Below are 27,130 nucleotides of genomic sequence, written 5' to 3'. Positions count from 1 at the left end.
TTAATACATGGAGTCACTAGCCTACTCAGAATCAGTGCCATGATAATAAAAAAGGCCGAGCTTTCTGTGGCCTATAACATCTTCACTAATTTCTCCCCTCTGCTTTAAAAACTTGATTGTTTCAGTGCACTTACAGGTTTATATTTTCTCTTATTTTCAAAGCACGAAAACATATTTCTCCATTGTAAAAAGTTTGATGATAGAAATACTTGGGTGGAAGCCAAAAACCAAAATTCATTCATAATTTCACTGCCTAGAGATATCTAATGTTAAAATTCTAATAGATGAATAAATTTTTTATAATTAGTATGATAAATATACAGATGTTATGTTTTATCTTAGTCAATGTTTATAATATACATAAGTATAAGATTTTTTCTGAATGCCTACATGTTAATAATGTGCAATAAAGAATCTTTAGGTATCACTTCTTTTCTCTATCAAAACTATGCTGTATATGAAGAAAATTTTATTTTCTAGAGAAAGGTTTATTGTTTTCTATTTGCTTTATTTCCATTTACCACCTAAATAATATGCTCAGAGTATTAGCAACATTTAAGCAGGCGGCAATCAGGGAAGAAAACATTTATCCCTATGTCAGCCAAAAAGCAACAACAAACTCTGTCATCTAGAATCTAAGCCCTGAAGCCTACTCTGAGATCTTTGAAGTACTCACTTGGGCTGAAGCCCTTTAGAGAAACTAAGCAAAATAAATGATTTGAAGCAAACAAAAATATAAACTCCAAACCTTCCCCAGCTTTGCATAATCATCATATTCATTTACTTTTTATTAAATTTGCCTCCCTGGAGGTTAGGTTAACCAAACCTGTCTCCTTCATTTTATGTTTTTTAATCTTCTGAGTGACTTCTCAGCATGGACCTAAGTTTTCCCAAATACTTAAATATTTGATAAGCATCAGTGTTACTACTGAAAATCACTCTAAAGGGTTTGGTGATAATATGGATCTATTTACTATATTTAAAAAAATAAATATTTGTTTATAAGGTAGAATAGCAGAATAGTTGCATTTTTTGGTCTTCTTATTAAATAACCTTTTCTGTGTGTTAACAAACTCTCTACCTATTGGTAAAAATACCATATCATATGATCTCTGATCCCATTTAGGGGAAGGAGGCCAATGAAGATTCCTTCACAGTGTCATTAACCACATGAAGACAGAATTACTCCAGAATCCCCAATTTTTTTGTAACAATATGACCTATTTCTATCAACTAAAAATAAATACCATTTGAGCTCCCACTATGTCTTAGACACTGGTGGTGTAACCGTGAACAAGTCAAAGCCCCTGTCCACATGGAGCTTACCTTTTAGAAAGACTGAGCAATACGCAAATTAATAAGAAAATCTTAGATAATGCTATCAAATCTTAGGCATATTTGTTATTTTGTTATTTTGTAAAAAAAAAAAAAGGTAGATTCCTCTGCTTCATCTTGTTAACAAATAAATTTGTTAATTTCAAAATAGCATGTTTAGCAGGGTTTTTTGCGGTTGTTCTGAAGATCCACTGTACTCTGTATAAACATTGCTGTATAGGAATTAAAGTGTAAGATTTTGGGAGCTGTTCATAAAATTAGCCAAACTTAAATTTACTCTAGGAATAAGTTATCATATTAACGTTAGGCTCAGTGTGATGTATCTGATATATTTTGAAATATACTTTATACACCCATCTAAGCAGTGTACTGTAATAAAATGCATATGACACATATTATGGATTAGCATGTTTTGAATAATGTATTTAAGATACTTCATAACAGCAACATATGTTGACCAGTCAGTGGGGTCATTTTTCCCCATTCTTTTCATTTTGAAATTTATATTTTGAATTTTTTTCTGCTTTTAGATCTTGAATATTTCTTCAAATATTTTTATTACTTTTCCAGGAATTTGCTGCACTGACAAAAGAATTAAATGCCTGCAGGGAACAACTTCTAGAAAAGGAAGAAGAAATCTCTGAACTTAAAGCTGAAAGAAACAACACAAGAGTAAGTGTAAAGCAGCCTTTTTGGAATTAATTCTATTTGTAGTTCAATGCATTACATGTAACACACATATAAGAAGAAAATATATGCATTTTAAAACTTTATAATTACTTTAAGCAGATAGTAACTCAGTTACTTAAAGTAAAGGAGGATATACTATAAAACTCAAAACAAAAAGACAGGAAACCTAAATTATAGTCACAGCTACTAAATCACTATGTTGCTTTACAAAATGTTCACATTCCTTCTGGCCTTTACTTTATTTGGCTTTAAAAAGAAGATCTGGATTTCAATAATGGGTTTCAAACTTTCAAAAGGTTGTTTTGGGGGTAGGGTAATCCCTCAGAGGTTGGAAATGGGCAAAAGAGGAGAGTTTTGGAAAAGAGGAAGAGTTTAAATTAAGGGCTGCTACAAAAGAGTGGCCTGGGTTTGGTTCTCACCTCCTCCCAGCAGAAGATTTTTTTAAAAAGGAAAAAAAAAAAAAGGCCGGACGCGATGCCTCATGCCTGTAATCCCAGCACTTTGGGAGGCCAAGGCAGGCGGATCACCTAAGTTCAGGAGTTCAAGATCACCCTGGCCAACATGGTGAAACCCCATTTCTACTATAAATACAAAAGTCAGCCAGGCTTGGTGGCACGCACCTGCAGTCCCAGCTACTTGGGAGGGCCTGGGAGGCAGAGGCTGCAGTGAACCGAGATTGCACCACCACAGTCCAGCCTGGGCAACAGAGTGAGACTCTGTCTCAAAAAAATAATAATAATAAATAAAATAAAAAGGAAACAAAAAATAGTGTCAAGAAAAAAAAACTGAAAAAAAAATCTGCCCATTAAAAGAGGAGTGCCTTTATGTTTTAATAAATTTCCAAGGGAATGTCCAGCCATGATATTCTGATTTCATGAAACTCATGGAATTTGCTAGATTCTACTTTTGGAAACCCATGTATTTTCATCAAGCATATGACATGCCATGTAACATTAAAGTTCAGAATTTGATAAACATGCTATATTTTCTTTGAGAAAAAAAATCACTAAATTTTATAAACATGTAAATTACCACATTACCCATAGAGGAGTACAGTTTACTAAAAGGAAGTAGAAAAAAACCACTTCTATGTGGATGTAAGTTCAATTTAAATACAACTGAAGTTGGTGAAAAATAGTTTAAATGTTATAGCTATAATAGATCAATCCTGAAAAAAATAGGTATAGCTAATGGCCTATTCACTTTATGAGTCTTAGAGAGTAATATAAAATACAGTTCTACTAACTGGGAGCTTGTGCCTTTAATGAGAGATAGGGTTGCTTGCATAATGGTTACATGATCAAACTGAATTTATGTCCTTATTTATCAAGGTCTTATTTCATGGTAAAGAGAATTCACATACATGCATACATTGAATTGGTTTTCAATGATACTCTGATGAACCTGTCAAATGGATTGCCTCAAACAGGGCATAACAAGGGCAGTTTAGATCATATTATCAGGTATCAGACAATTTTTTTCTTTTGCTGTCTTCCTCTCTATATATTTCCTACCCTTGACTTTTTTAACTTAACACTGTGTTTTCGTGCAAATTTAAAATTTATTTATACCATGACATTTATTCTGCCCTATTCCACTATGTTATATTTTAGTACTTTAGACTACATTCCTTGATTTAACACAGCACACTCAAGTGTAAAAGTAGGAGCAGAAAGCTGAGAATGCAGGGAAATACAAAGCTTTGGTTAGGTTTATAACTAATGCTCACATTTAAAATGCACCAGACACTCTTTTATTAGCTGTGTAGGTTCATCTAGCCTTTTTTCTTCAGCCCCTTACTCCTTTCTACACCCCTCTGGAGATGTTATAATTATCTCAATTTTACAGACCAGGTAAGTGAGCTCAGAAAAGGTCAGATAACTTGCCAGAAGTCACACAGTTAGTAAATAGCAAAGAATGAATTTGAAAGGTAAGGCAGTCTAAATCCAGAGCCTGTGCACTAACCATGAGGCCATCAGCATTATTACTCAAAGACTTACTACAGCTAGAGAGGACATTGCTTAACAGTCAGACCACCACAGTATCTAATTGTGATGAATTTTAGAGAGCTAAGAGATTTGGTGACAGAATCCGTACAATTTTCATCATATTGAACCCCATGAGAACCAGAAATACCCGAGGCTATTGTGTTTGCAAAGGAGTCTTGGATAATAAAGGGAGGAAGGTGAGCCACATGTGAAGTACCTATTTGGGAGTCAAAATTAGAAAAATACAAAGTTCCTTTAAAATAACAATAACAGATATTGAAGCCATTGATTTCAACCATGCATAATAGTTACTTTGAAAATATGAATAAGGCTGGAAAATACATTTCTACCTTCTTTAAAGCAGTGATGTGGAGGATTTTTGTTGTCGACTGCATCAAGGAAAACAGATTTATGAAAACCCCCTTGTACACAGTATTAATTATATAATAACTCCTTAAGTTACATAACCACCTCTCACCCTCCTCCATCCCCCAGAAGTAGTATATCCAGAGCTGAAAATCAAATATGTCTCTCTTCACACCAGATGCCTTATCAAATGTTGCTAAATAAAACCATTTTTATAGATTTTATAGTTGTTTCTCTTTCTAGATGTTGTGCTTTTCTTCTTGCTATAAATATCTGTGTGCTGGTCATAGAGACAAAGCAACAAGCTAGTGTTTCCTTCTCACATGTAAAGAAACTTTAATTGGTGTCAGATTGTGAGCAAATTTAAAGCGCAAGTGATAGCTGGGCATGGTGGCACATGCCTGTAACCTCAGCTGCTCGTGATGCTGAAATAGGATAATCGCTTGAATCCAGGAGGGTGAGATTGCAGTGAGCAGAGATCGTGTCACTGCACTCCAGTCTGGGCGACAGAGGGAGACTCCATCTCAAAAAATAAATACATAAATAAATATATAAAAGAAAATAAAATATAAAGTGTAATTGAGCATTCCAATTTCCAAAGTTCTGATCAACTTGTGGCTCACTTTACATCGAGTAGTTAGGATATGTTCATGAACTGAGCTAAATAACATAAAAAGCCAGTCCATGAAACCATGTGTGGATGGGGTCATTTGTATTAATTTTGAATGTTATCAAAAACAATAGATCAGAAAAAGTCCTTCTGTATAATGATATTTGGATGAATTATACCATCTTCCAAAATAGAAAATAGAAGTTCCAGTGGGAATTGAATGAAGATAGAGAGTAATAATGATAATATAATAGCTAACATTAAAATCTAAATGTTTTTATGAATGTTTTACATGTTTAACTCACTTTATTCTCACAGCAATCTCATTATTCCCATTTAATTCAAGAGAAAACTAAGGTAGTAAGTAACTTGTCCCAGGCCTATAAATGGCTTATAAATGAAACACCCAGAGAGTCCACTACTTCCTTCTCAGTTTACCCACAGACTATGTATTTAAGAAATCATATTCCTATGTCACCCACAATTCACATGTGATGCAAAGGTATTATGTTCAAAGAAGAATACAGTTTGTTCAAATTTATTTTTTTCTTTTTTTAATTCTTTTGAGACGAGGTCTCACTCTTGCTCAGGCTGGAGTGCAGTGGCACAATCATGGTTCACTGCAGCCTAGAGTTCCCTGGACTCAGGTGATCTTCCCACCTCAGCCTCCCAAGTAGCTGGGACTATAGCCACATGCCACCATACCCAGCTAATTTCTGTTATTTTTTGTAGAGATGGGGTTTTGCCATGTTGCCTGGACTTGTCTCGAACTCCTGGGCTCAAGCAGTCGGCCCGTCTTCACCTCCCAAAGTGCTGGGATTACAGGCATGAGCCACTGCTCCTGGCCTATTTAAATTTTTGTAATTCAATCCTACTTTATTTTGTGTTAGTCATGTGGAAAGTCAATCTGCTATGTTTTTATTCTGAGGTCAAAGCTGAAATGTATGTCCTGGCCATGTATTATGTTTTCTCCACAGAAACACCTCGTTGACATTGCAAAAATTTGAGTGAATGAAAGAAAATCAGTCATCACTGCAGTTGTTCTTAAATCCAACTGCCTCAAGTTATTAAATTAAGAATATCCTAATAAAATCATTATAATATTATAAACAATTATACAAAAATAGAAATTTCAAAAAATTATAGTGGATATTTATAGAAACATACAAAGAAGTTTTTGTTCAATATTTTTATACTGATAAAAATGTAGAAAAAATATTGAAACAAAATTTGTTATTCCTAAAACTCCTCTGACCATACTTTGGCAAGTATATATTTACAGAAGGTTATATTTATAGAAAATAATTTATTCCTGATGTTATTTCAACTCAAAATGATCAATAAGACATGTTTTGACAAAGTTATCTGAACTAATGAAGAGGTAAAGAAAAACTGGGAATTTTTGTATAGTTATTGCCTGTGAATGTCAGCGTGAAGAACATTTTTATTGTCGGAGTTGTTTCAACTATTTTTATAGCTGAAGATCTCAAAGGATGTTTTAAATTGTTCATAATGTTTTAGAATGTAACTATTGTGTGACTTTGAATTCTCACTCATAGGTGGGAATTGAACAATGAGATCACATGGACACAGGAAGGGGAATATCACACTCTGGGGACTGTGGTGGGGTGGGGGGAGGGGGGAGGGATAGCACTGGGAGATATACCTAATGCTAGATGACGAGTTAGTGGGTGCAGCGCACCAGCATGGCACATGTATACATATGTAACTAACCTGCACAATGTGCACATGTACCCTAAAACTTAAAGTATAATAAAAAAAAATTAAAAAAAAAGAAAAACGTTATGGTTTTGAGAAACAGTATTCATATTGTTATGATTTCAAGAAACAGTATTAATACCTAGTTATAAATAATAAAGCTGTAACTTAATCTCATGGATCATAAACTTAAAAAGAAGACATAATTGCATTTGACACATTTCTTACCATGCCCTCACTTTTGTTTTGAGCCAAAGGAATTATCTTAACAGATATTGAGATACAATTAGACACCCATCACTACTAAAGAAAAATTTTTTCTTATTGACAAATCTCTGCCTGTACGAGTTAATAATGTCATCCAAATGTATTTCATCAATGGGTAGAAAATACGGTCCAATTCAGAAAAGGAAGACCTTCTCAGCTGAAAACAGATAAAGATTCTACATATGTGTACATGCATGTGCGTATATAGTTATTTATGAAAGTTCTATGATAGGATATGATCAGTACAAGAGTAAATAGGATAGGACATACGCCCTCCCAACAGCTATTTCAATTTCATAATCAAACATGAGCATAAGAAACATGGGATTTTAAACGATATTTGAGGGTAAAAGATATGGAGTGGGTTGAGTAAGAAGGCAACCAATTTAAAGGTTTTCGTTTTCAGATGTTAATGTCATGCTATATGACCATATTACAGCAGCCACATTAGTCTACAGGGAAGAATGTGTTTCTGTTTCAGTGCCATTTATAATTGGAAATAACTATTCACAAGGTTTTGTTGAATTAAGATCTAATAGGAAGTTATATAGTTTTAGAAATCCTTACAGAATCATAGTAAAATAAAAGATTTAGATTACCTGGGCCATCTTGCTTTTCAAGGCAAAACTTAGTCCAAAAAATTCCCAATGACGCATGATGTGTGGGTTTGTGTGGGTGTGTGTGTGTGTGTCTGTGTGTGAATATATGATACATATGTGTGTATACACATAGAACCTGTGGTCATTTAAAGAAAATTCAAACATAGGATTCATGGCCATTCACATAGTCTCTACAATCCTTTGAGTATACCAAAGAGAGTTCCATTTGTACTTTCTGTGAGAATTATTAAATATTAGGCTAAAGTTGTAGCTCCCAGTGAAGGTGTGTAATTAGTAGATTGTTAATGGTATCTTAGCTAAGTATCACTTTTTGTACTCTTAATTTATTTACTTTTATTTTTAACCTTAAATTAGGCCATATATATATGCCAGATGAGAACATTTTTGTCCATATTCTTCAATCTGAATAATTGATGTTTATCATTAACCCAATTCAACAAGTATTAAGTACTTATTATGTAGAATATTTTCCTTGGTATTGGGGATAAGTGAAATCGTTCATCCCTTAAGGAGTCTGTTTATATTAATAAAAACATATTTGGTTTTTATTATCATGTAGATGAGAGTTCCTAATTGCACAAAACAGAGTATATAGCTTGGCTGTTTAAATAAAGACATTAATTAAAGCATATAAGAAATCTCTAAACTGAGCTTTCAGACAGTCTCTAGGACCACATTTCTTAGCTTTGTAAATTTTTCTCACAAGCCCAGTCCCAGAAACACGCAGCCTCTGCCACTACCCCTTCCCAGCATGGTTCCTCTCTGCCCCGTCAGGCTAACTCCCAGGGTGGTCAGGTCTGGTTGACTGATCTTAAGTCACAGGTCTGCCACCTAGTGGTAAACATTCCCAAGAAATGTTACTGGGAAGATGGGATTTGGATTGTGAGGAACTATCAAACAGTCAGGGGGAGGGGTAGAAAATGGGGATAATTAATGGGTAAAAGATGGTAACAGGGTACAGAAAACAGAAAAGAGAATAATGTATTAATGTACATTATATATATATATTCACACACAAACATGCATGCGTGTGTGTATATATAGTGTGTGTGTCTGTATGTGAGCGTGTGTATGTGTGTCAACAAAAAAGGAATGATCCTCTTTTCTCCACTAGTCACAGGTCCTAGTTGGCAGTTATGAATTCCAATTATAAACCTTGGTTTCTGGACTTACATACATGGATCCATAGCTATTCCAAGAAAGAAACTCTATCTTATTTCTATCAGTAGTTCTGAGGATATACTAATTCCAGGATGATAGAATTCCTACTTAGCAATGTATTATGTCCAAGCTTGAATTGTGCTGGGTCAACTGGCTAGCCACATGTAGAAAGCTGAAACTGGATCCCTTCCTTACACCTTATACAAAAATTAATTCAAGATGGATTAAAGACTTAAATGTTAGACCTAAAACCATAAAAACCCTAGAAGAAAACCTAGGCAATACCATTCAGGACATAGGGATGATAGGACTTCATGTCTAAAACACCAAAAGCAATGGCAACAAAAGCCAAAATTGACAAATGGGATCTAATTAAACTAAAGAGCTTCTGCACAGCAAAAGAAAATACCATCAGAGTGAACAGGCAAGCTACAGAATGGGAGAAAATTTTTGCAACCTACTCATCTGACAAAGGGCTAATATCCAGAATCTACAAAGAACTCAAACAAATTTACAAGAAAAAAAACAAACAACCCTATCAAAAAGTGGGCGAAGGATACGAACAGACACTTCTCAAAAGGACATTTGTGCAGCCAACAGACACATGAAAAAATGCTCACCATCACTGGCCATCAGAGGAATGCAAATCAAAACCACAATGAGATACCATCTCACACCAGTTAGAATGGCAATCATTACAAAGTGAGGAAACAACAGGTGCTGGAGAGGATGTGGAGAAATAGGAACACTTTTGCACTGTTGGTGGGACTGTAAACTAGTTCAACCGTTGTGGAAGACAGTGTGGCAATTCCTCAAGGATCTAGAACTAGAAATACCATTTGACCCAGCCATCCCATTACTGGGTATATACCCAAAGGATTATAAATCATGATGCTATAAAGACACATGCACACTTATGTTTATTGCAGCACTATTCACAATACCAAAGACTTGGAACTAACCCAAATGTCCATCAATGATAGACTGGATTGAGAAAATGTGGCACATATAAACCATGGAATACTATGCAGCCATAAAAAAGGATGAGTCCATGTCCTTTGTAGGGACATGGATGAAGCTGGAAACCATCATTCTCAGCAAACTATTGCAAGGACAAAAAACCAAACACCGCATGTTTTCACTCATAGGTGGGAATTGAACAATGAGAACATTTGGACACAGGAAGGGGAACATCACACACCAGGGCCTGTCATGGGGTCGGGGGGAGGGGGGAGGGATAGCATTAGGAGATATACCTAATGTAAATGACGAGTTAATGGGTGCAGCACACCAACATGGCACATGTATACATATGTAATAAACCTGCACGTTGTGCACATGTACCCTAGAACTTACAGTATAATAATAAAAAATAAAAAAAAGTCTTGGCTTATTTAACCATTCTATAAGTTCAGCTACTTCTAAATGATGTAATGGTGTGATAAAATCCGGGGTCCCTGGGAGCACCCATCAATTGCATTACTCTTTTCACTGTAAAATCAGATTTTTTTTTGTTTTTTTTTTTTTGTCTGAAGTAATGTTGTATATCATAACATGACTGTAAGCAAAAACTCGGTAAGATGGTGTTTCTGGTAGAAGTATGGTCATTAGAGAAAGCAAATCTATATCCAAAAAGGGGGTTTATTATAGTGAGGAAAAACTGCCTCCTCTTTAATAAAAAGTATTTGATATAATATGCTTGCTTCATGGTGAATAGCTGGTCTCCAGCTGTACTTTATCATGACAGGGCTCAAGTTAGATTGCTGCAGCTTGCCACTGGGCCGTTCAGCCATGGTGGTGTCTCCATCAGTCTTAATCGTGGGAAGCCCATTTTGTCAGGTTTATAACCCTGAAACCATGGTCACTTCTTTATGCACATTGAGAAATACGACATGGTGGCAAGGGAAATAGGCTGATATCTACAAGGTGAATCAGTTTGTCCACCAGGTTACTGAAGACTCTTACAGAGTGAGGATCAGAAAATTACTCCTAGCTCAGAGGTAATATTCAAGAAACTTTGATATTTTATTGTCCATAGTACTATGACTCTAATAAATAGTTACAGATCCTTTGGGAGAAGGTTTTCTGATTACCTATCATGATATGACAAACTATCCAAAAACTTAATGACACAAAGCAACATTTTAATATGCTAGGAAGGAGATATCCAATGTTGTAGGTAACCAGGGAAAGCCTCATTGAAAAGTGGCATTTGAGTTAAAATATGAAAGCGAAGGTGAAGTGAGATAGTCATACAGATTTCTGAAAGAGAATGTTTTAGTTAGAGAAAAGAAGAAGTACAAAACCCCTGTTGTGGGGACATGGATGTTTAGCCTGTTAAAAGCAAAACTAACAAAACTAAACAAACAAAAAACTGCAAGGCAGCCAATGAAGCTATACCAGAATGAGCAAGAAGAAAAATAGGAGATAAGTTCAGAAAATTTAGATCCCTTTGGGATGTATAAGGACTTTGACTTTCACTTGAGCTCAATAAGAAGACATTAAAAATTTGAGCAGAGGTATAAATGACCTAACTCACATTTTAACTGAAATAGTGTTTTGAGAATAGCCTGAAGATGAAAGGCTGAAAGGAGGAGGACCAGTTAAGGAGCCATTATAATCCAGGGGGAGATTATAGGTCTTGGACACAAATGTAAGCAGTGGATGTAGTGGCAAGTGATCAGATTCTAGAAACTGAGGGAGCATGAAAGAGAGTGCTTACAAATACTGAATTGTTAACTTTAAGCTGGGTAAAGAGACAATGAGGACATGAGGGTAGGGAGAAGCAGTTAAAAAGTTCCACTTGCCAAATGTGAAGAGTGTGATCAAAAGATTTAGGTAGTCTCTAATAACAGATATCCTTTATAGCATCATTATTGTGTTTCTTTTCCTAGAGGGTGGATATTTTATATTTCTAAATCTTACACTGTATTGTGCAAAATTGGATGCTGATATGTTTATTGAACGACTATATTATGCAAGATGACTCTAATTTACAATTAGAAAAAAAAACAGTTTTCATTGTGTTGTAAAGGTTTCATTATTTTTGTCATCAGATTGAAGGATAGATGTACATAATAATGTTAATTAGCCTAAGCTTTTAGGAAATAATGCCAATTAACCATGGCCACAGGCTTAGCTTTCATATAGGCCAAATCTGTATGAGATATATAAAACTATATGAGGTATGTAAATTTAACTCATTTAACATTTCAGTTCACTCAACAAATATTAATTGCATACCTATAGATGTTGGGAATTGAGCTAACACCCAAATCCAGAGAGGATCAAGAGGATTAAGGCGGACACTGTGCCAACTCTCATGGAGCTTTTATTGCAATGGGAAAATAGAATGAAATTTGGTAGAAAAATTTGTTTAAATTGCATATCATAAAATATTCTGAAGAAAATTAGTAAGGGATTGAAATAGAGACTTGCGGAGGTGGGGAAAAGGAGAAACTTACTTTAGACAGTAGTGAGCAAATGCCTTGTTGAGAGATGATGTTTAAGCTGAGACTTAAAGAATGAGAAAGAGCTGGTTAAATGAGGAACCAAAGAAGGAGTGCTTTGGGCAGAGGGTACAGCATAAGCAAAGGCTTGACATACTGAGGAGCTAAAAGTAGGTCAGAAGTCTGGAACATAGTTTGCCAGCGAAAGATTGACATCAGATGCCACTGGAAAAACAGACATTATTAAGTTCATGCAAATCTCCACAACCTATGTAAAACAGCTTGGATTTATGCAATGAATACATGTATCTAAAGAATTTGAGAGAATAGAATACCATAATATAATCAGAGATTGATAAATTTTAAAGGGCTCCTTGAAAATTTCAGGTTATTTTCATACTGAAAAACTACTATTATTATTATTATTATTTTAGTAGAGACGGGGTTTCACTGTGTTAGCCAGGATGGTCTCGATCTCCTGACCTCGTGATCTGCCTGCCTTGGCCTCCCAAAGTGCTGGGATTACAGGAGTGAGCCACTGTGCCCGGCGATTAGTTTGATCCTTAAATGTGACTCTTATCTACTGATTTATGCATGTTTAGTGTCTCAGATACTGGTGTTCTTTGTGCCCAATAATGGCAAAGTTTTCTAACATTTTGAGTCATAATTAGTGACAGCAAATGTAGAGAAATCAACCAAAAAATATGATACTAATACTTGACAATGAATCTAACAGTGGTATAGTGAAAACCAAAATTTTTCATTACAGTTAAACTTTTAGAAAATATCTTGAAAAGAAAAAAATAAAGTTGTTTTCTTTATTCTTTCCACCTTCAGTGTCTTATATCTGTTTTTAAATCTTTTGTTTGGGTAATTTCTGCTTTATTTTCTTCTTTATTTTGCATAAGTAGACACCACTTGTTAGCCTATGCTTTTCACTATGCTTCCGAAGACCTTTCCTATAATGCTCACCAACTGTGTGTGGTTCTTCACTAGTAAAATTATAATAACTGAAAATAATCAAGCAATTTCTGATTTTCTTCTCATGTATCTTTGTTTTTTAGCAGTAGAACTTCCTTTTGAAATGAAAGCAAATATGAAACCCCAATTCACAAAACATTTCAAAGCAGAACTCCTCTGGCAAAAGCTAAGAGTGTAAAGCCTGAAACAGCCTGGAAAGTCTTCAGGGACTTTCCCTCCACCTCTGTCATGGCCCCAGAGGCTACTCTGGGAAATCATAGATTCTAACACAGGCAATTTAAAACTGTATCCTTAACTTCCTTTTCTGAACTGACAATTGAGAATCTCAGTTACTATGTTCTAATTGGTTGCATATATTTTTCTATAATTAATCTAAAGACTAATTGTGAATAAAACCATGTGATTAAGTTAAAGTAACATTTTAATGATTATGCTCATTTTATTCAATTCAAATTATTTTAATGGCCATATGTAAATGAAATAAATTTTGACTGTCACTATGATCCTCTAAAAAGATCATGATGCATCAAGCAATGTTCTTTCATCATTATCATACATATTTTTCCAAGTGTTCTATTTCTGCTGAATTCGTACTGAAATTATTACATTTGCTAAAGGACTGCATTACATTTGCATTACATTTTTAAATTCAGTAACTTGTTAAATGATCAAATACAATTTATCTTTAATGTATTTTATAAACCCTGTTTTAAACAGGTCTGTGCTTCTTTGTTGCTGCTTGCAGTGTAACCTGCAGCTAACATTAGATACTATGTAAGCCTGCAATAATTTAAGGGGGAAGTCATTTGTAAGTATTTATGACTTGTATTCATAAGATAATTGCATTTTCTGTTAAACCCAATAGCTATTACTGGAGCATTTGGAGTGCCTTGTGTCACGACATGAAAGATCACTAAGAATGACGGTGGTAAAACGGCAAGCCCAGTCTCCCTCAGGAGTATCCAGTGAAGTTGAAGTTCTCAAGGCACTGAAATCTTTGTTTGAGCACCACAAGGCCTTGGATGAAAAGGTATAGTATGGAAAAAGAGTTCAAGCTTAACTACACTTCTGTCATCAGCATCAAGCTCTTTGTCTTCATCCATTGACTCACCTGACTCCTAAAGTCAGTCAGTTGAGGAACACTTTTGAGTTATATGAAAAATCATTTTTTAAAAGTGAAAATGGATTACTGTGTGGATGTTGGTAATATTCATAAACATCTTCTTTTTCTAAACCACTGAATCTATGGCTTATCAGAATTAGACTTCTATTATGGTACATTATAACCCTACTTCAGATGACATTCAAAATGTTATATCATTTAATATTATTATTGAGCCTCTCTCTCTCTCTCTCTCTCTCCCCCCTCCCCCCCCCCCACCTTGGTCTTTCTTTATAGATTCCAAAATAAGAGACCACTAACTGAAAATTATGTATATTTTGATATGCAAATTGATGTACTTTAACTTTTAGACATTTATTTTAGAAGCATCTTATTTTCTAATGTCTCTAATATCATAGTTTTAAATATTCATTTGAATATTCTCTGCATGTAACATCACAAAGTATTAGTAGAAAAACCTGTGTTTAGATATTTTTAAAAGTAGCTGTAAGCTTCTCTTAGCTGTTACTCGAATAAGTTCTACTGACATATATAAACCAATATGATGATAATATCCTTAGGAGATTAGGAAGGCTTATGACGTATTTCAATTTCGTGAAATTTCAAAGACTGAACTTTTAAAAATTAGTAAATCTTTAGGAGTTAGAGTGGAAATTGGGACACTTCATTGTAAAGTATCCGACAAGTTCTGAGCATTAAAATCCAAACTAGGGATTATTTCCCAGTTATATCTAGTTTTTAAGCATGCAAATATTTTTGTTCTATTTAATATTTATATACATTTATATTTTTATCATTGGTCTTTCAGATGTTCTGAGAACAGGGGATTATGTGGAGTGTGTATGTAAGGATAACTATAATTCTGTCTTCTAGAGTATTAAGAAGAAATTGTATCTCATTTTTATTTTAGCAACGAGAGGCAATTAGTATAAGAATTATTTTGAATAAAACAGAAATGAATATTATATAAAAATTCTTGCTAAATATGACATCAAATAATTATTTAATATTCAATATTTAGTTTCATATTATATTTCCTCTCTTTTTATAAAAGTGCTAAGAATTTGCAAGAGTTTATATGTATAGAATTTTTAGTATGTGTCAGGCTCCATAGCACATGTTTGACACACAGAGATAAATAAGATATGCTCATTATGACTGAGAAGTTCAGAGTTAGTGCTAGGAATTCACATATCAATGAAAAACAACTCAAAACAGATGTATTTCCATCACAATATGTAGCCACAGAAAAAGCTGTGACTGTGTGAGTAATGACAAAGACAAGGATGTCTTCAAGAAAGGTTGGCATGGCCGGGCGCGGTGGCTCACGCCTGTAATCCCAGCACTTTGGGAGGCCGAGGCGGGCGGATCACGAGGTCAGGAGATCGAGACCATCCTGGCTAACACGGTGAAACCCCACCTCTACTAAAAATACAAAAAATTAGCTGGGCGTGGTGGCGGGCGCCTGTAGTCCCAGCTACTGGGGAGGCTGAGGCAGGAGAATGGCGTGAACCCGGGAGGTGGAGCTTGCAGTGAGCCCAGATCGCGCCACTGCACTCCAGCCTGGGTGACAGCGAGACTCCGTCTCAAAAAAAAAAAAAAAAAAAAAAAAAAAAAGAAAGGTTGGCATTTGATCTAGGTATTAAAGAATGATTAAGGGTTTTTTAAGCAGAGAAAGATACTCTAAGCAGCAGGACCCACACAGAAAATAACCCAGAGCTGTAAGAAGAGAAGGACCTATCCAGAGAAAATTCAAGAGTTTTGTGACTTAAATGAAGGTACTAGAGAATGTATGATTTGAGATGGTCCCATAAGCATTCCCATATCACTTGAGGGATGCTTTTACAAAAGAATGATTCTTTATCAGAATAGAGGTAATAAACAGCATTTAAGACAAATAACCTGGTCGTGTGAGTACATTTAAGAAAAAAATGGTTGTTGTACAACGTAATCTAGAAATAATTTACTTTATAGAAGTTCAGTGGGTTTAGCATAACTATATGAGTTGTTCCATCGTATGACCCTAGGAGCTATAATAATATGTATTAACTCACCATAGGTATTCTGAACATTGGTGAGTTCAGGGACAACTGGACTGATTATCAACAAGTAATGCTCAGTGGCCTAAAGAAGAAATGAATTGGGGCTCTGGAGTCAGACAGATCTGGATAAGTGACTTGATCATTCATTCTCAAAGCATCAATTACCTCTTATCTTGAATTAAGATAATCCTAGTACTGACCTCAGAGTCATCATGAGGATTAGATATGATCTGATATGCAAAGCTTTCAGCCAGTGCTTAGCATATGGCAAGTCCTTAGTGAACGTTTATGAATATTATTATTAGCAGGAGTAAGCATCAGCATTTGATAAAACTTTCAAACCAAGTAAACATGTTGGTTTTACTGTTGATCCAGATGCTTGTTTACAATAGCATTTCATTTAGTTGTCGAGGGACTCATATGTGTCTAAGTGCCTTCATAGACAATTTCCCTAAGAGTAACTCACAGTTTCTCATAGGGATGAGGAGGGATGTGGATATAGATATATAAACAAGTAATACTATATATATATATATATATATATATATATATATATATATATATATATATATGAAGTCAGAAAAAGATGCAATTAACCATGCCTTGGGGACAGGAAACAAACAACTTTATCATAGAGGGATTAGTACATATGCAGAGCTAAATAAACTCTACAAGGATTGAGCATAGCTGTAGAGAGTTGCAGTGATTCATAATTTTCATCATTAATGTCCAATTATTTATACAGCCACCAAGTTGTAGCATAGAATATTCATAATTAGCTAAGACCATCAGTAATTTTGAAATTACTCTACAATATATTTACCAATTCCAAGGGTTGGAGAACATGAGAAATATACTTGTGTTTTTCAATTACTCAGAAATCATTGACTATTTAAAAATAACATATCAGACATGTATGGGAAATGTAAACCAAAACAAATTAAATATATATGCCTTCCCTATATATTTTTATTATCAAATATCTTAGTGTCAAGGAATGAATTAGAGCTTCTGGTCTGAGGAGATTTCCACAAGAATATTTTCTGTTGTAGGAGTGATAATTCCCCAAATGCAACCCTGCCTTATATTAATTTCAGTTTGCATTATTGATATTCACAGCATCAATTTTTCAATTTATAACATAACTCAAAATATATTCAGAATTTTTTATTTTCTTGTAAAACAGTTTTAGATTTATTACTTCGTGGACAACATAATCTCAATTTGTAAACCACTATTCTAAATATATGAAAGATGATTATTTCATTTTCATATTGTTGGATAAATTCGATAACTTTTACTCCTTAAAAACTCACTATAATGAAAATATAAATGCTTAACTTGTAGTAAATAGAAAACAGTTTGGAACAGTTCTAAGAGTTTAAGTTTAAAAAAAGAAAGAAAGATATATTAACCTACCATGTAGCCTAGATTCAACCATTTCTTATATTATGCGAATGACTTTTAGAAAGATTTTAATGTGTTGATATTTTAAAATATGGTAACTTCCTCTCTCTACAGCAGCTTAAGTGTGATATGATCAGCGTTGTGTATGGAGAGATTATTAACATATTTAGATTGCTTCATATTGCTGTTCTCATCAACTAGGTTTACTAGGCCTTCTTCAGGACACCCGTATTTTACAGTTGGTATTTTAGAATATGGGAATCCCTGTTAAACATCACACGTCTGTTGAAACGTTTTTTGATATATGCATTCCACACATCAGCTGTCCTGCTCATTTTCATGGCTTCGGGATATTTGCTTCTTTTTCATGTATTCAAAATTCATAAAAAAGTATTCTCCAAATCAAATCATCGAAGATTTCCTGCTATGTAACTAGTGTTTGGTTATTAATCAGCATTAATCCTATGTATTTTGTTAACAATTGGATATTTGTCTAACAGGAATGATACTTGGCAGTTAATCTCTAGCTCAATATGATGAAAGATCCTGTGCAACTCTTTTAGAAATCAAGTCTCCATTTATGTGTGTATTATTGTTTTTAGAGAATTTAAGCATAACAAAATATAATTAATATTAAAACCCCTACTTGGATATTTTTATTGCTGATTCAAGGTCTATTTCAGGAATTAAATGCATCCATTCATCTGAATATACATGGTATTGTAATACAATACTAAAATGTGACTTAGATTCTTAAAAATTCCTAATAGGATTCTAGGTTAATAGGACATTACTGACTTTTTGTTTGTTTGCTAACTGGAAAAATAATATTATAATTCCAATTTAATTTTTATGTATCTGGGTTTTTACATATTTTATAAATTTAATCTATATTCCCAGTTAAATCTTATTAGAGGAGAAAAATACCATTTATTAAAATATGCTGTCAGTTAATAAAATGAAAGCTCATAGGAATATAATTATATGTTAAAACACATCTTAACTGCACAAATACTATAGCATTCCCAAGAAAAATCTAAGTTAATTTATAAATAATCGAAAACCCACCATGAATTGCATCTTAAGTTAAAGCTATAAAGTTTTTTGATTTTTTAAGGAAAATTAAACTGCTATAGTCATTCATTTTAATTCAGCAATATTTCTTTCTCTGAATTGTTTTATATATATATATATATATATCAGGACATATATATAGATCTAAACATAAAACAACTAAAACAAAGTTCTAAGAAAGCAAGAATCAAAGAAATACTTCTTCGAGTTTCAGTTATGTAAGAAACAAGCATAAATTATGACTTTCAAACTAAAATATACAGAGATTTTTGTTCTATAAAATACAATGGTTTAACCTTTGGTATCTGGAAGCTAGTTGGAAATTCCAAGATACTTAAGTAGTTTACAATTCCTCAAAAACAAAGTAGACCTCTAATTAATAAAAAACAGAGAAGCGAAGAACATTTTTCAGGTTCTAAAAGGCCTTTCCTTCAGGCAAATAATTTTTGAAATTAGATACTAAGTACCAAATGAAAATTCACTTGTTATTTTACAGAAGTAGAGAAAAAGGTGGGGTATTTTTTTTTCCTATTTGTCATGCTTAAACAGTGACTATTTTTTAGATGAATTCATAATATACTTTTAAACTTTGTCTCCACTTACTATGAATCAGAATTCAGAGCAAGACAAGTCAATCTCCAACCCCACCTGAAGCTCTATCAGGGAACTACCAAAAGCATTTGCTTACAAGGAAATCCCTTGATACAGTGACAATACGAGGTGACAATGCATTCATTGTATTTCTGCCAGATTTAGTATTCTGAGCACGCAGGGATATAAATACTTTAATAATTTGCCAAATTGACTGTCTCTGATGATGTTAATTATGGATTCAGCACAGTTTAATATGTATGGGATGTACATTACTGCACATATTTTGATTTTTCTTCTAGGTAAGGGAGCGACTGAGGGTTTCTTTAGAAAGAGTCTCTGCACTGGAAGAAGAACTAGCTGCTGCTAATCAGGAGGTAACCTGCCACACTTTCTCCTCTTTTGAGGTGCAATATCGCTGACATTACATCCCTTGTGTTTCACGTCACTTTTATTATAACTGTCACAAAAAATAAATTACATTCTGTCTATGCCATTGAACAAGGCTTGTTGAAATTAGTTGCCGGAGTCTTGTTTTCTGATTTTTGGTTATTTATATGTGTCACTACTAGACCAAAGGAAAATTATCAAAAGCTAGTGACATGTGAGCTAGGGAGATGAAGATTTAGAAAGACTACAGGCAGAACGTCAGTCGTTTCAAGAAGGAAAACACAGCTCAAAATTGGAACACATATCAAATAACTGTTAAACTTAGAAAATGCTACAAATAAAAGTGAACTCCTTGGAGAGATATACTTGCCCTCAGGTCCTGCCTATTCTTATCTTCTAAAAGCACTGTACTCATATTTAGTGACGTCACTGAATCCACTTCTGCTACTATTCACAACCCCCAAAAAAGTTTTTTCAATCATCTTTTTAAGATTTAAAGAGTTATTTTATCTTCGGAAGATTTTACTTCTCTTGGGTTTTAACGCACAAATTATCTTGGATAATTAGGTATATATAGAGAGTACATAAATTTGTTTATATATACATGTATCTATCTATATTTATCTCTCTCTAAATATGTATGTATATAATACCTAAGATATAAAACTATATATATATATATTTATCCCTGAAGTATTATTATAGTCTCCTATAGACAGTGTGGTACATTTTATTGATATTACATAGATAAAATAAAATTATATATATATATAGAGAGAGAGAGAGAGAGAGGGAGAGAGAGAGAGAGAGAAGTTTAACCTGTGTCAGCCATTAAAATAGTCCCATCTCTCTTTTTCTCTGACATTTATAAGGCTGCATTTTTCCTACAAGTTTATTCCAGTAATGTAATATTGGTATTACTAGTATTGGACATACTAATATAAATTAGCAAAATCTTCTTACTCTTAAATAACCAAGGGTAGAGGGGAGGGAATAATGAAGAGGGTTGATTAATGGGTACAAATTTTCAGTTAGATGGAAGAAATAGGACCTAGTGTTCCATAGATCTAGATCAGTAGGTTGATTATAGTTAACATTAATCTAATATACATTTCAAAATAGCTAGAAGACAGAATTTAAATGTTCCTAGTAAAAAGTAAAGATAAATAGTTAATGTGGTGGATACTCCAAATAACCTGCTTTGATCTTTACACATTATATGAATGTATCAAATTATCACAAGTACCCCCAAAGTATGTACATCTATTATGGATCAATAAAAAATAAGTAAATATAAATAGATTTATAAAAATATATGAGGCTAATATCAGTAAAGATAAGTCTTATAAAGGGATTTATAACAAGATAATGTTTACATATACATTATGCATACAGACAAATACACATTTTCAAACCACTCAATAAATCTTCTCAGTACAAACTCCTTTGTTTTTTGTTTTGTTTTGTTTTGTTTTGTTTTTTGTTTTGAGACGGAGTCTTGCTCTATCACCCAGGCTGGAGTGCAGTGGTGCAATCTTGGCTCACTCCAACCTCTCTCTGCCTGCTGGGTTCAAGCAATTCTACTGCCTCGGCATCCCAAGTAGCTGGGATTACGGGCATGTGCCACCACCCCTGGCTAATTTTTGTATTTTTAGTAGAGACGGGGTTTCACCATGTTGGTCAGGCTGGTCTTGAACTCCTAACCTAGTGATTCGCCTGCCTCGGCCTCCCAAAGTGCTGGGATTACACGCGTGAGCCACCGCGCCCAGCCACTCTTTTGTTCTTCAAAATAAGCTAGATTAATTAAATGAGTGTATATATGCTTTTCTTTGTCCCAGCCATAACAATTTAACCTTTAGAAATAATGGACTTTCAGCTAGTAGGAGAGTAAACTCTATGTGAATTAAAGGCTAGTAGTGTTAAAACCATAAATGATGAAATAGCCATCTTTAAAAAGGAAAGAAAACTTTTTGATGACCAGATTCAGCTTAGTAAACAGGATGGTTTGGGGGAAAAAAAAAAAAAAGAAATAAGAGATTGGTACCTCTCAGTCATCATAGAAGAAAAGAACCTCTGGAATAATAGGTAATGAGAAGGAGTACACAGTCTTTGAAAGAGATGGGGTTGATAAATTATCTTCAGGATGGGGTGTACTTGTTCCTGGAACTATCAGAAAAAAACGTAAAATGTGTATTCATATTATATTTTATTAATGTTAATTGTGATTTTTATATGTGATAAAATTACATTCATTTTGGATGCATTTCTCAAAATATTTTATTGATAAGGGCAAACAAACAAAAAGTTTGGTGGCTACTATTATAAAAGCATGGCTTAATATGAACGTGATAGAATTTCTGTTTGTCATAAACAAAGGTGTGATGAGACCACTTGGCTAAAGTAAGCTGAAATAAAAGTGTCCCATAGGCCAGGTGTGGTGGTTCACACCTGTAATCCCAGCACTTTGGGAGGCCGAGGCGGGTGGATCATGAGGTCTGCAGATCAAGCGAGACCATCCTGGCTAACACGGTGAAACCCTGTCTCTATTAAAAATACAAAAAATTAGCTGGGCTTGGTGGCGGGTGCCTGTAGTCCCAGCTACTTGGGAGGCTGAGGCAGGAGAATGGCGTGAACCCTGGAGGCAGAGCTTGCAGTGAGCCGAGATCGCGCCACTGCACTCCAGCCTAGGCAACACAGCCAGACTCTGTCTCAAAGTGAGGCTCTGAAAATTTGCTCCAGGAATAGCAACTAAGTAGTTACTTCAATTATACATAAAATTGAACAGCAGCCCTTGAGAACAAAAGTGGAGGAAAGATTTACGACTGTTTTCTGGAATAGAGTTTTATCCCTCGAGTATTATTATAATCTCCTATAGGCAGTGTGGTACATTTGATTGATTTTACATAGATAAAATAAATTTTTACTTTTTAGCACTCCTGTGTATCTACTGCAGACTTTTCTGAATGCCATTTGTTTTGCTTAAAATCATTTGTACAAATAAGAGTCACTTGCATAAGTAAAAATCACGTCTGTTAGTAATTATCGTGCTCATTATTAACTTCCATTTTGGTTTTGTTGTTGATTTTAACTATTGTCCATGTGGCTTAACTCGAATCCCTATTTAGAAATTCACAAGCCCAGTGATAAAGAAAATTTACTTTAGTTTTCTAATAATAAATCACTTATCAATAGTGATTCTTTTAAGAGAGTAATTAGAAAAGAGTCAACTTTAACTTCTTAATAAAATTGATATTTCAAAATGAAATTACGAAAAAATCAGAAGACACTTGCAGTTTGAGTTGTTGATTCTCTATAGTAAGAGCAATTGGTATAAGAAATCACTGTAAGTAAAGCATCATGTATTGATGATAAGAAGATATATTTAGAAACCTGATAAAATACATTTAGAAAAATTCATACTATTAGCAGCTTTAGGATAAGAACTAGGTGACTTTTGAATGTTGGAGGCAATAACTGAAGAAGATAGTTTTTAAAAAAAGAGCAAATTTTCATGAAAAAGTTTAAAAAATTATTAAGAGCCGAATAATCAGGAACCAGAGCAAAAGTCCTGCGTATGACTAAATGAGCAAGGAGCTGGAGAAACGTTTATCTGATGCATCAGATTTAACTTTTTTTTTTTTTTTTTTTTTTTTTTTTTTTTTTTTTTTTTTTTTTTTTTAGACAGGGTCTCACTCTGTTGCCCAGGCTGGAGTGCAGTGGCACGATCAAGGCTTACTGCACCCTCCACCTCTTAGCCTCAGGTGATCCTCAAGCCTCAGCCTTACGAGTAGCTGGGACTACAGTTGCATGCCACCATGCCCAGCCAATTTTTTTTGTATTCTTTATAGAGATGGAGTTTTGCCATGTTGCCCAGGCTGGTCTTTAACTCCAGGGGTCAAACAGTCTGCCCAACTCGGCCTCCCAAAGCACTGAGATTTCAGGCATGAGCCACCTCACCCAGCAACGTTTCAGATTTTAAATTAAATTTAAAATGTATTTACAAGTGTCCCTTAACATTCAAATCTATTTGTTTTCTGAGTTCATATTGCCATCTTGAAGAGTAAGGGTGCTATATTATGATAATCTGCTTGGTTCTTGAGTTTCTCCTTGTTACAGTGACAGTTTAGATATAAAATCTTATCCAAACATTTTTTTCTGAATTAATTCAATTCCCAAATTCAGAACGGATAATTAAGAGAAGAGATTTAGATTGTGAATGATATCTTGATATATTCATACATACGCATATATGCATATGTAGAATCTGAAAAGACCATACAGTTTATTCTATCATCATTATATGATTTTAATATGCTTTATTCTCTCATCTATCTATCATTATTATATATAGAGTCTCTTTCTCTCTCTCTCTCTCTTTCTCTCTCTCCTCCTCCCACCACCACCACTTGTCTTATTCTCACGGATGGGTTTGGAGTTATCACCTCCTAATATCTTTTCTTTATATAATCTCTTTCATTGATCGCTCATCTATTCTCCCCAGACATCCAGGAATTCAACCATGACTTCTGTAGAAAAGAAACTAAAATCTATAGCTCAAAGTTTATATACTCTTCTGAGCTCTACAGAAAATTTCAAACATCCCTTTGGCATTGCCACAGGGCTTTGTTAATTATTGTATAGATTATTCTCTCCTACAAATTTCCAGCAGGGAGGTCAGTGGGAGCTGAAATATAGCTCAGGGTTTGCTAATCCAGACATGCACCAGAGGACATAGCCACCTACAAGGAGTACATTTTCTAATTTACACAAAAGTGCCTTATGCTCTGGTGGGTCAGAAATGCCACCTAGTTTTCCTGATGTCCTCTTAGATTCTATATGGCACATTAATGTAATAAAGTGAGTTGCCTCATTAAAAAGAATACAAAACTACTATATGTTCTTTTCTGGAAAAAGCCCCAAAACATTCTGCTATGTAAAAAGAATGAAGTTGCATAGAATAATCTCAATATTTTTCAAATATAAATAATAATAATAATTCATTATGACAGGAATAGAAAAAGTTTTAGATATAAGTGCCAAACTGTTATTATTTGTTTTCTCCATTGTTTGCAAGTATATATACCATATGTTTCTGTAGTGTTTGAAATTTTAATAACTTTTCATTATTCTTATAAACAAATAAAATAATAAAGTTGTTTTAGAGTCAGATTTTATTGTCCATAATGACATCAATACTAGATCATTTTATGGAGCACTTAATAGTAATCATAGTTAATATTTATTGCTAAATACATATATGTCAGTACACTAATGCTGGAAGGTACATACTATTATTTTACAGATGAGACCAGAGAAGTTATTTCTCCTAATGTACTGCTATTCCCTCCTACTTGAAAATGTATTTATCTTTGAATTTGTCTTAACTCTCTGCTTTCAGGTTGTTTCAATTTATGTATATAATTGTGTCTATAATGTTCCCCATATCTGTTTACTCTCATCTTTTTCCATATGTATTAAAATTACAATATTTCAGGTCTTCATGCATTCTCACCTGACATATTACAGTAGGCTTTTATCTGTTCTTATTGCTTATCTCTTTTGCTGTGTAATTCTGCAAGGTTAAACTTGCTAAGTGAAGCCCCAATTATAATGATTATTTTTGTAATATGTTCTCATCTATAATATGTACTTATATATGATATATGCCATATTAATACACTGATAACATAATGATCTATTATGCTATATTAATATATGTTAACAATATAGTGATATATGTTACATAGACTTGTAACATACCATCGAAAATTTCTTCAGTGTTCCTAACCTACAGATTCTACTTTAACTCCACCACCCCTACTGCTCTGCCTGAGTCATTCTAAGGCCTTAAGTCATAGAGTGTATTTTTTTTTAAAGAAGGCAACATTTTTCCTAACTCTAAATCTTATTTATGCTAAAGTCTTTCCTGGAATACCTCCATAACCCCAAATCACTCATTGAAAACATATTTCCTCATTTAAGCTCAAGCTCAGATGTCACCTCTTTAATGAACTATTTTATAATTCTTTGCCAACAGGCTAATTAATTAATGGCTAAAGCTCATTACTTCAGCCTGTATTACGACTGTTCAACAAGTATTAGGGTTAATTTTATACTTGTGTAAGCCTATGTAGTTAGTTTACTGAGAAATAGACTTCATCTCTCTCCTTTATATTTATTTCACTCAGTAACAGTGATATGAACCTCTTGATCAATATATGTTTGTCAAATTGCATTATCTACACTTCATTCTGACTAGTGTTTTCATGTTGTTCTTTGACTATTCTCTTAATGAACCATTTGAACAACATTCAGTATGCTCAATAAACAGCAATATGTTGATCATATGTATCAAATGAACAAGTTGTTTCGTCTTTCAATTTAATTAATTAATCTCTACCATGTGCAGAAAATTTTGAGAGTCTCTGAAAGGAAGAAATGGAAAGAAAGAAAATAAATGAGGTATTAAGTAAATTTTCATATAACTTGCCCTCTAGTGAAAGAGACAGACGTATACACGTATAACTAACATGTAATTTAGTGCAAAACTAACTAAATACAAAATACAGGCACAAGCAAAATACAGAAGGGAACAGAGAATAAGCGTATTCTGTGCCAAAGGATCGGAGAAGACTTCAACCTAAAAAGACAGCATTTGAGTATATCCTTGAAGGAAGGCTATGATTTAACTTCAAAACTGTGGGAAGTATTTCAGGCTGAGGAGACAGAATGATTAAGAAAATCTGAAACTGCTGTTTCAAGAATAAGGAATGTTGCATTGATAAAAGTCAGGGTGTGAAAAGATACAGAAGAGGAGGGTAAAGAGGTTGATGGGATCCAGATTCTGAAGAGCTAAAAATTTGTAGATTTTATGCTTTCTGAAATGAGAAAGCACTAAAGGTAATATTATGGGTTTTTTTCTGTTTTTTTTTTAATTTTTGTTAAAGTGAAAACCATTAAAGGTATGTTTTTGTGTGGTTTTTTTTGTTAATGTTTGTTTTTTGTAAAGTGTAAGGCTGACGTGGCAAAGAGCTAGAAAGTTGGCATAATTTGATGCGTTTGGTTAACATAATAATATAATATGTGATTCTAATCATGGTACTTTAACAAATACTTATTGGGCATCTTCCAGTTGCCAGGCATTTCATTAAGTACTGGGTATAAATATGTTAACAAACTCATATTTGTAAATAGTTAGTTCTAGCCGGGCGTAGTGGCTCACGCCTGTAATCCCAGCACTTTGGGAGGCCGAGGTGGGTGGATCATGAGGTCAGGAGTTCAAGACCAGCCTGACCTACATGGTGAAACCCAGTCTCT

General features: G+C 34.0%; 1 protein-coding gene and 1 long non-coding RNA gene across 51 annotated transcripts in view; one reads left to right on the top strand and one right to left on the bottom strand.

Moving 5' to 3' along the window:
* Positions 1-27,130, top strand: part of PPFIA2 (PPFI scaffold protein A2) — a 501,376-nt gene that overhangs the window by 299,579 nt on the left and 174,667 nt on the right. For 43 of the 48 annotated variants that reach the window (XM_024449242.2, XM_017020107.3, XM_024449240.2 and 40 more), the window contains 3 exons: positions 1,906-2,007; positions 14,052-14,216; positions 19,726-19,800. In XM_024449242.2, the coding sequence (XP_024305010.1) occupies positions 1,906-2,007; positions 14,052-14,216; positions 19,726-19,800 (342 nt within the window). The remainder of the gene's footprint in view (positions 1-1,905; positions 2,008-14,051; positions 14,217-19,725; positions 19,801-27,130) is intronic. The other 5 variants (XM_017020105.2, NM_001220478.2, XM_047429788.1 and 2 more) reach the window with 1 other exon arrangement.
* PPFIA2-AS2 (PPFIA2 antisense RNA 2) overlaps positions 1-27,130 on the bottom strand; it is a 141,042-nt gene that overhangs the window by 98,375 nt on the left and 15,537 nt on the right. The gene's annotated exons all lie outside the window — the stretch shown is intronic.

Source organism: Homo sapiens, chromosome 12 (assembly GCF_000001405.40).
Source record: "Homo sapiens chromosome 12, GRCh38.p14 Primary Assembly".
Classification (NCBI taxonomy): domain Eukaryota; kingdom Metazoa; phylum Chordata; class Mammalia; order Primates; family Hominidae; genus Homo; species Homo sapiens.
Note: the sequence above shows the minus strand (reverse complement) of the source record. Positions and strands in the feature narration are given on the sequence as shown.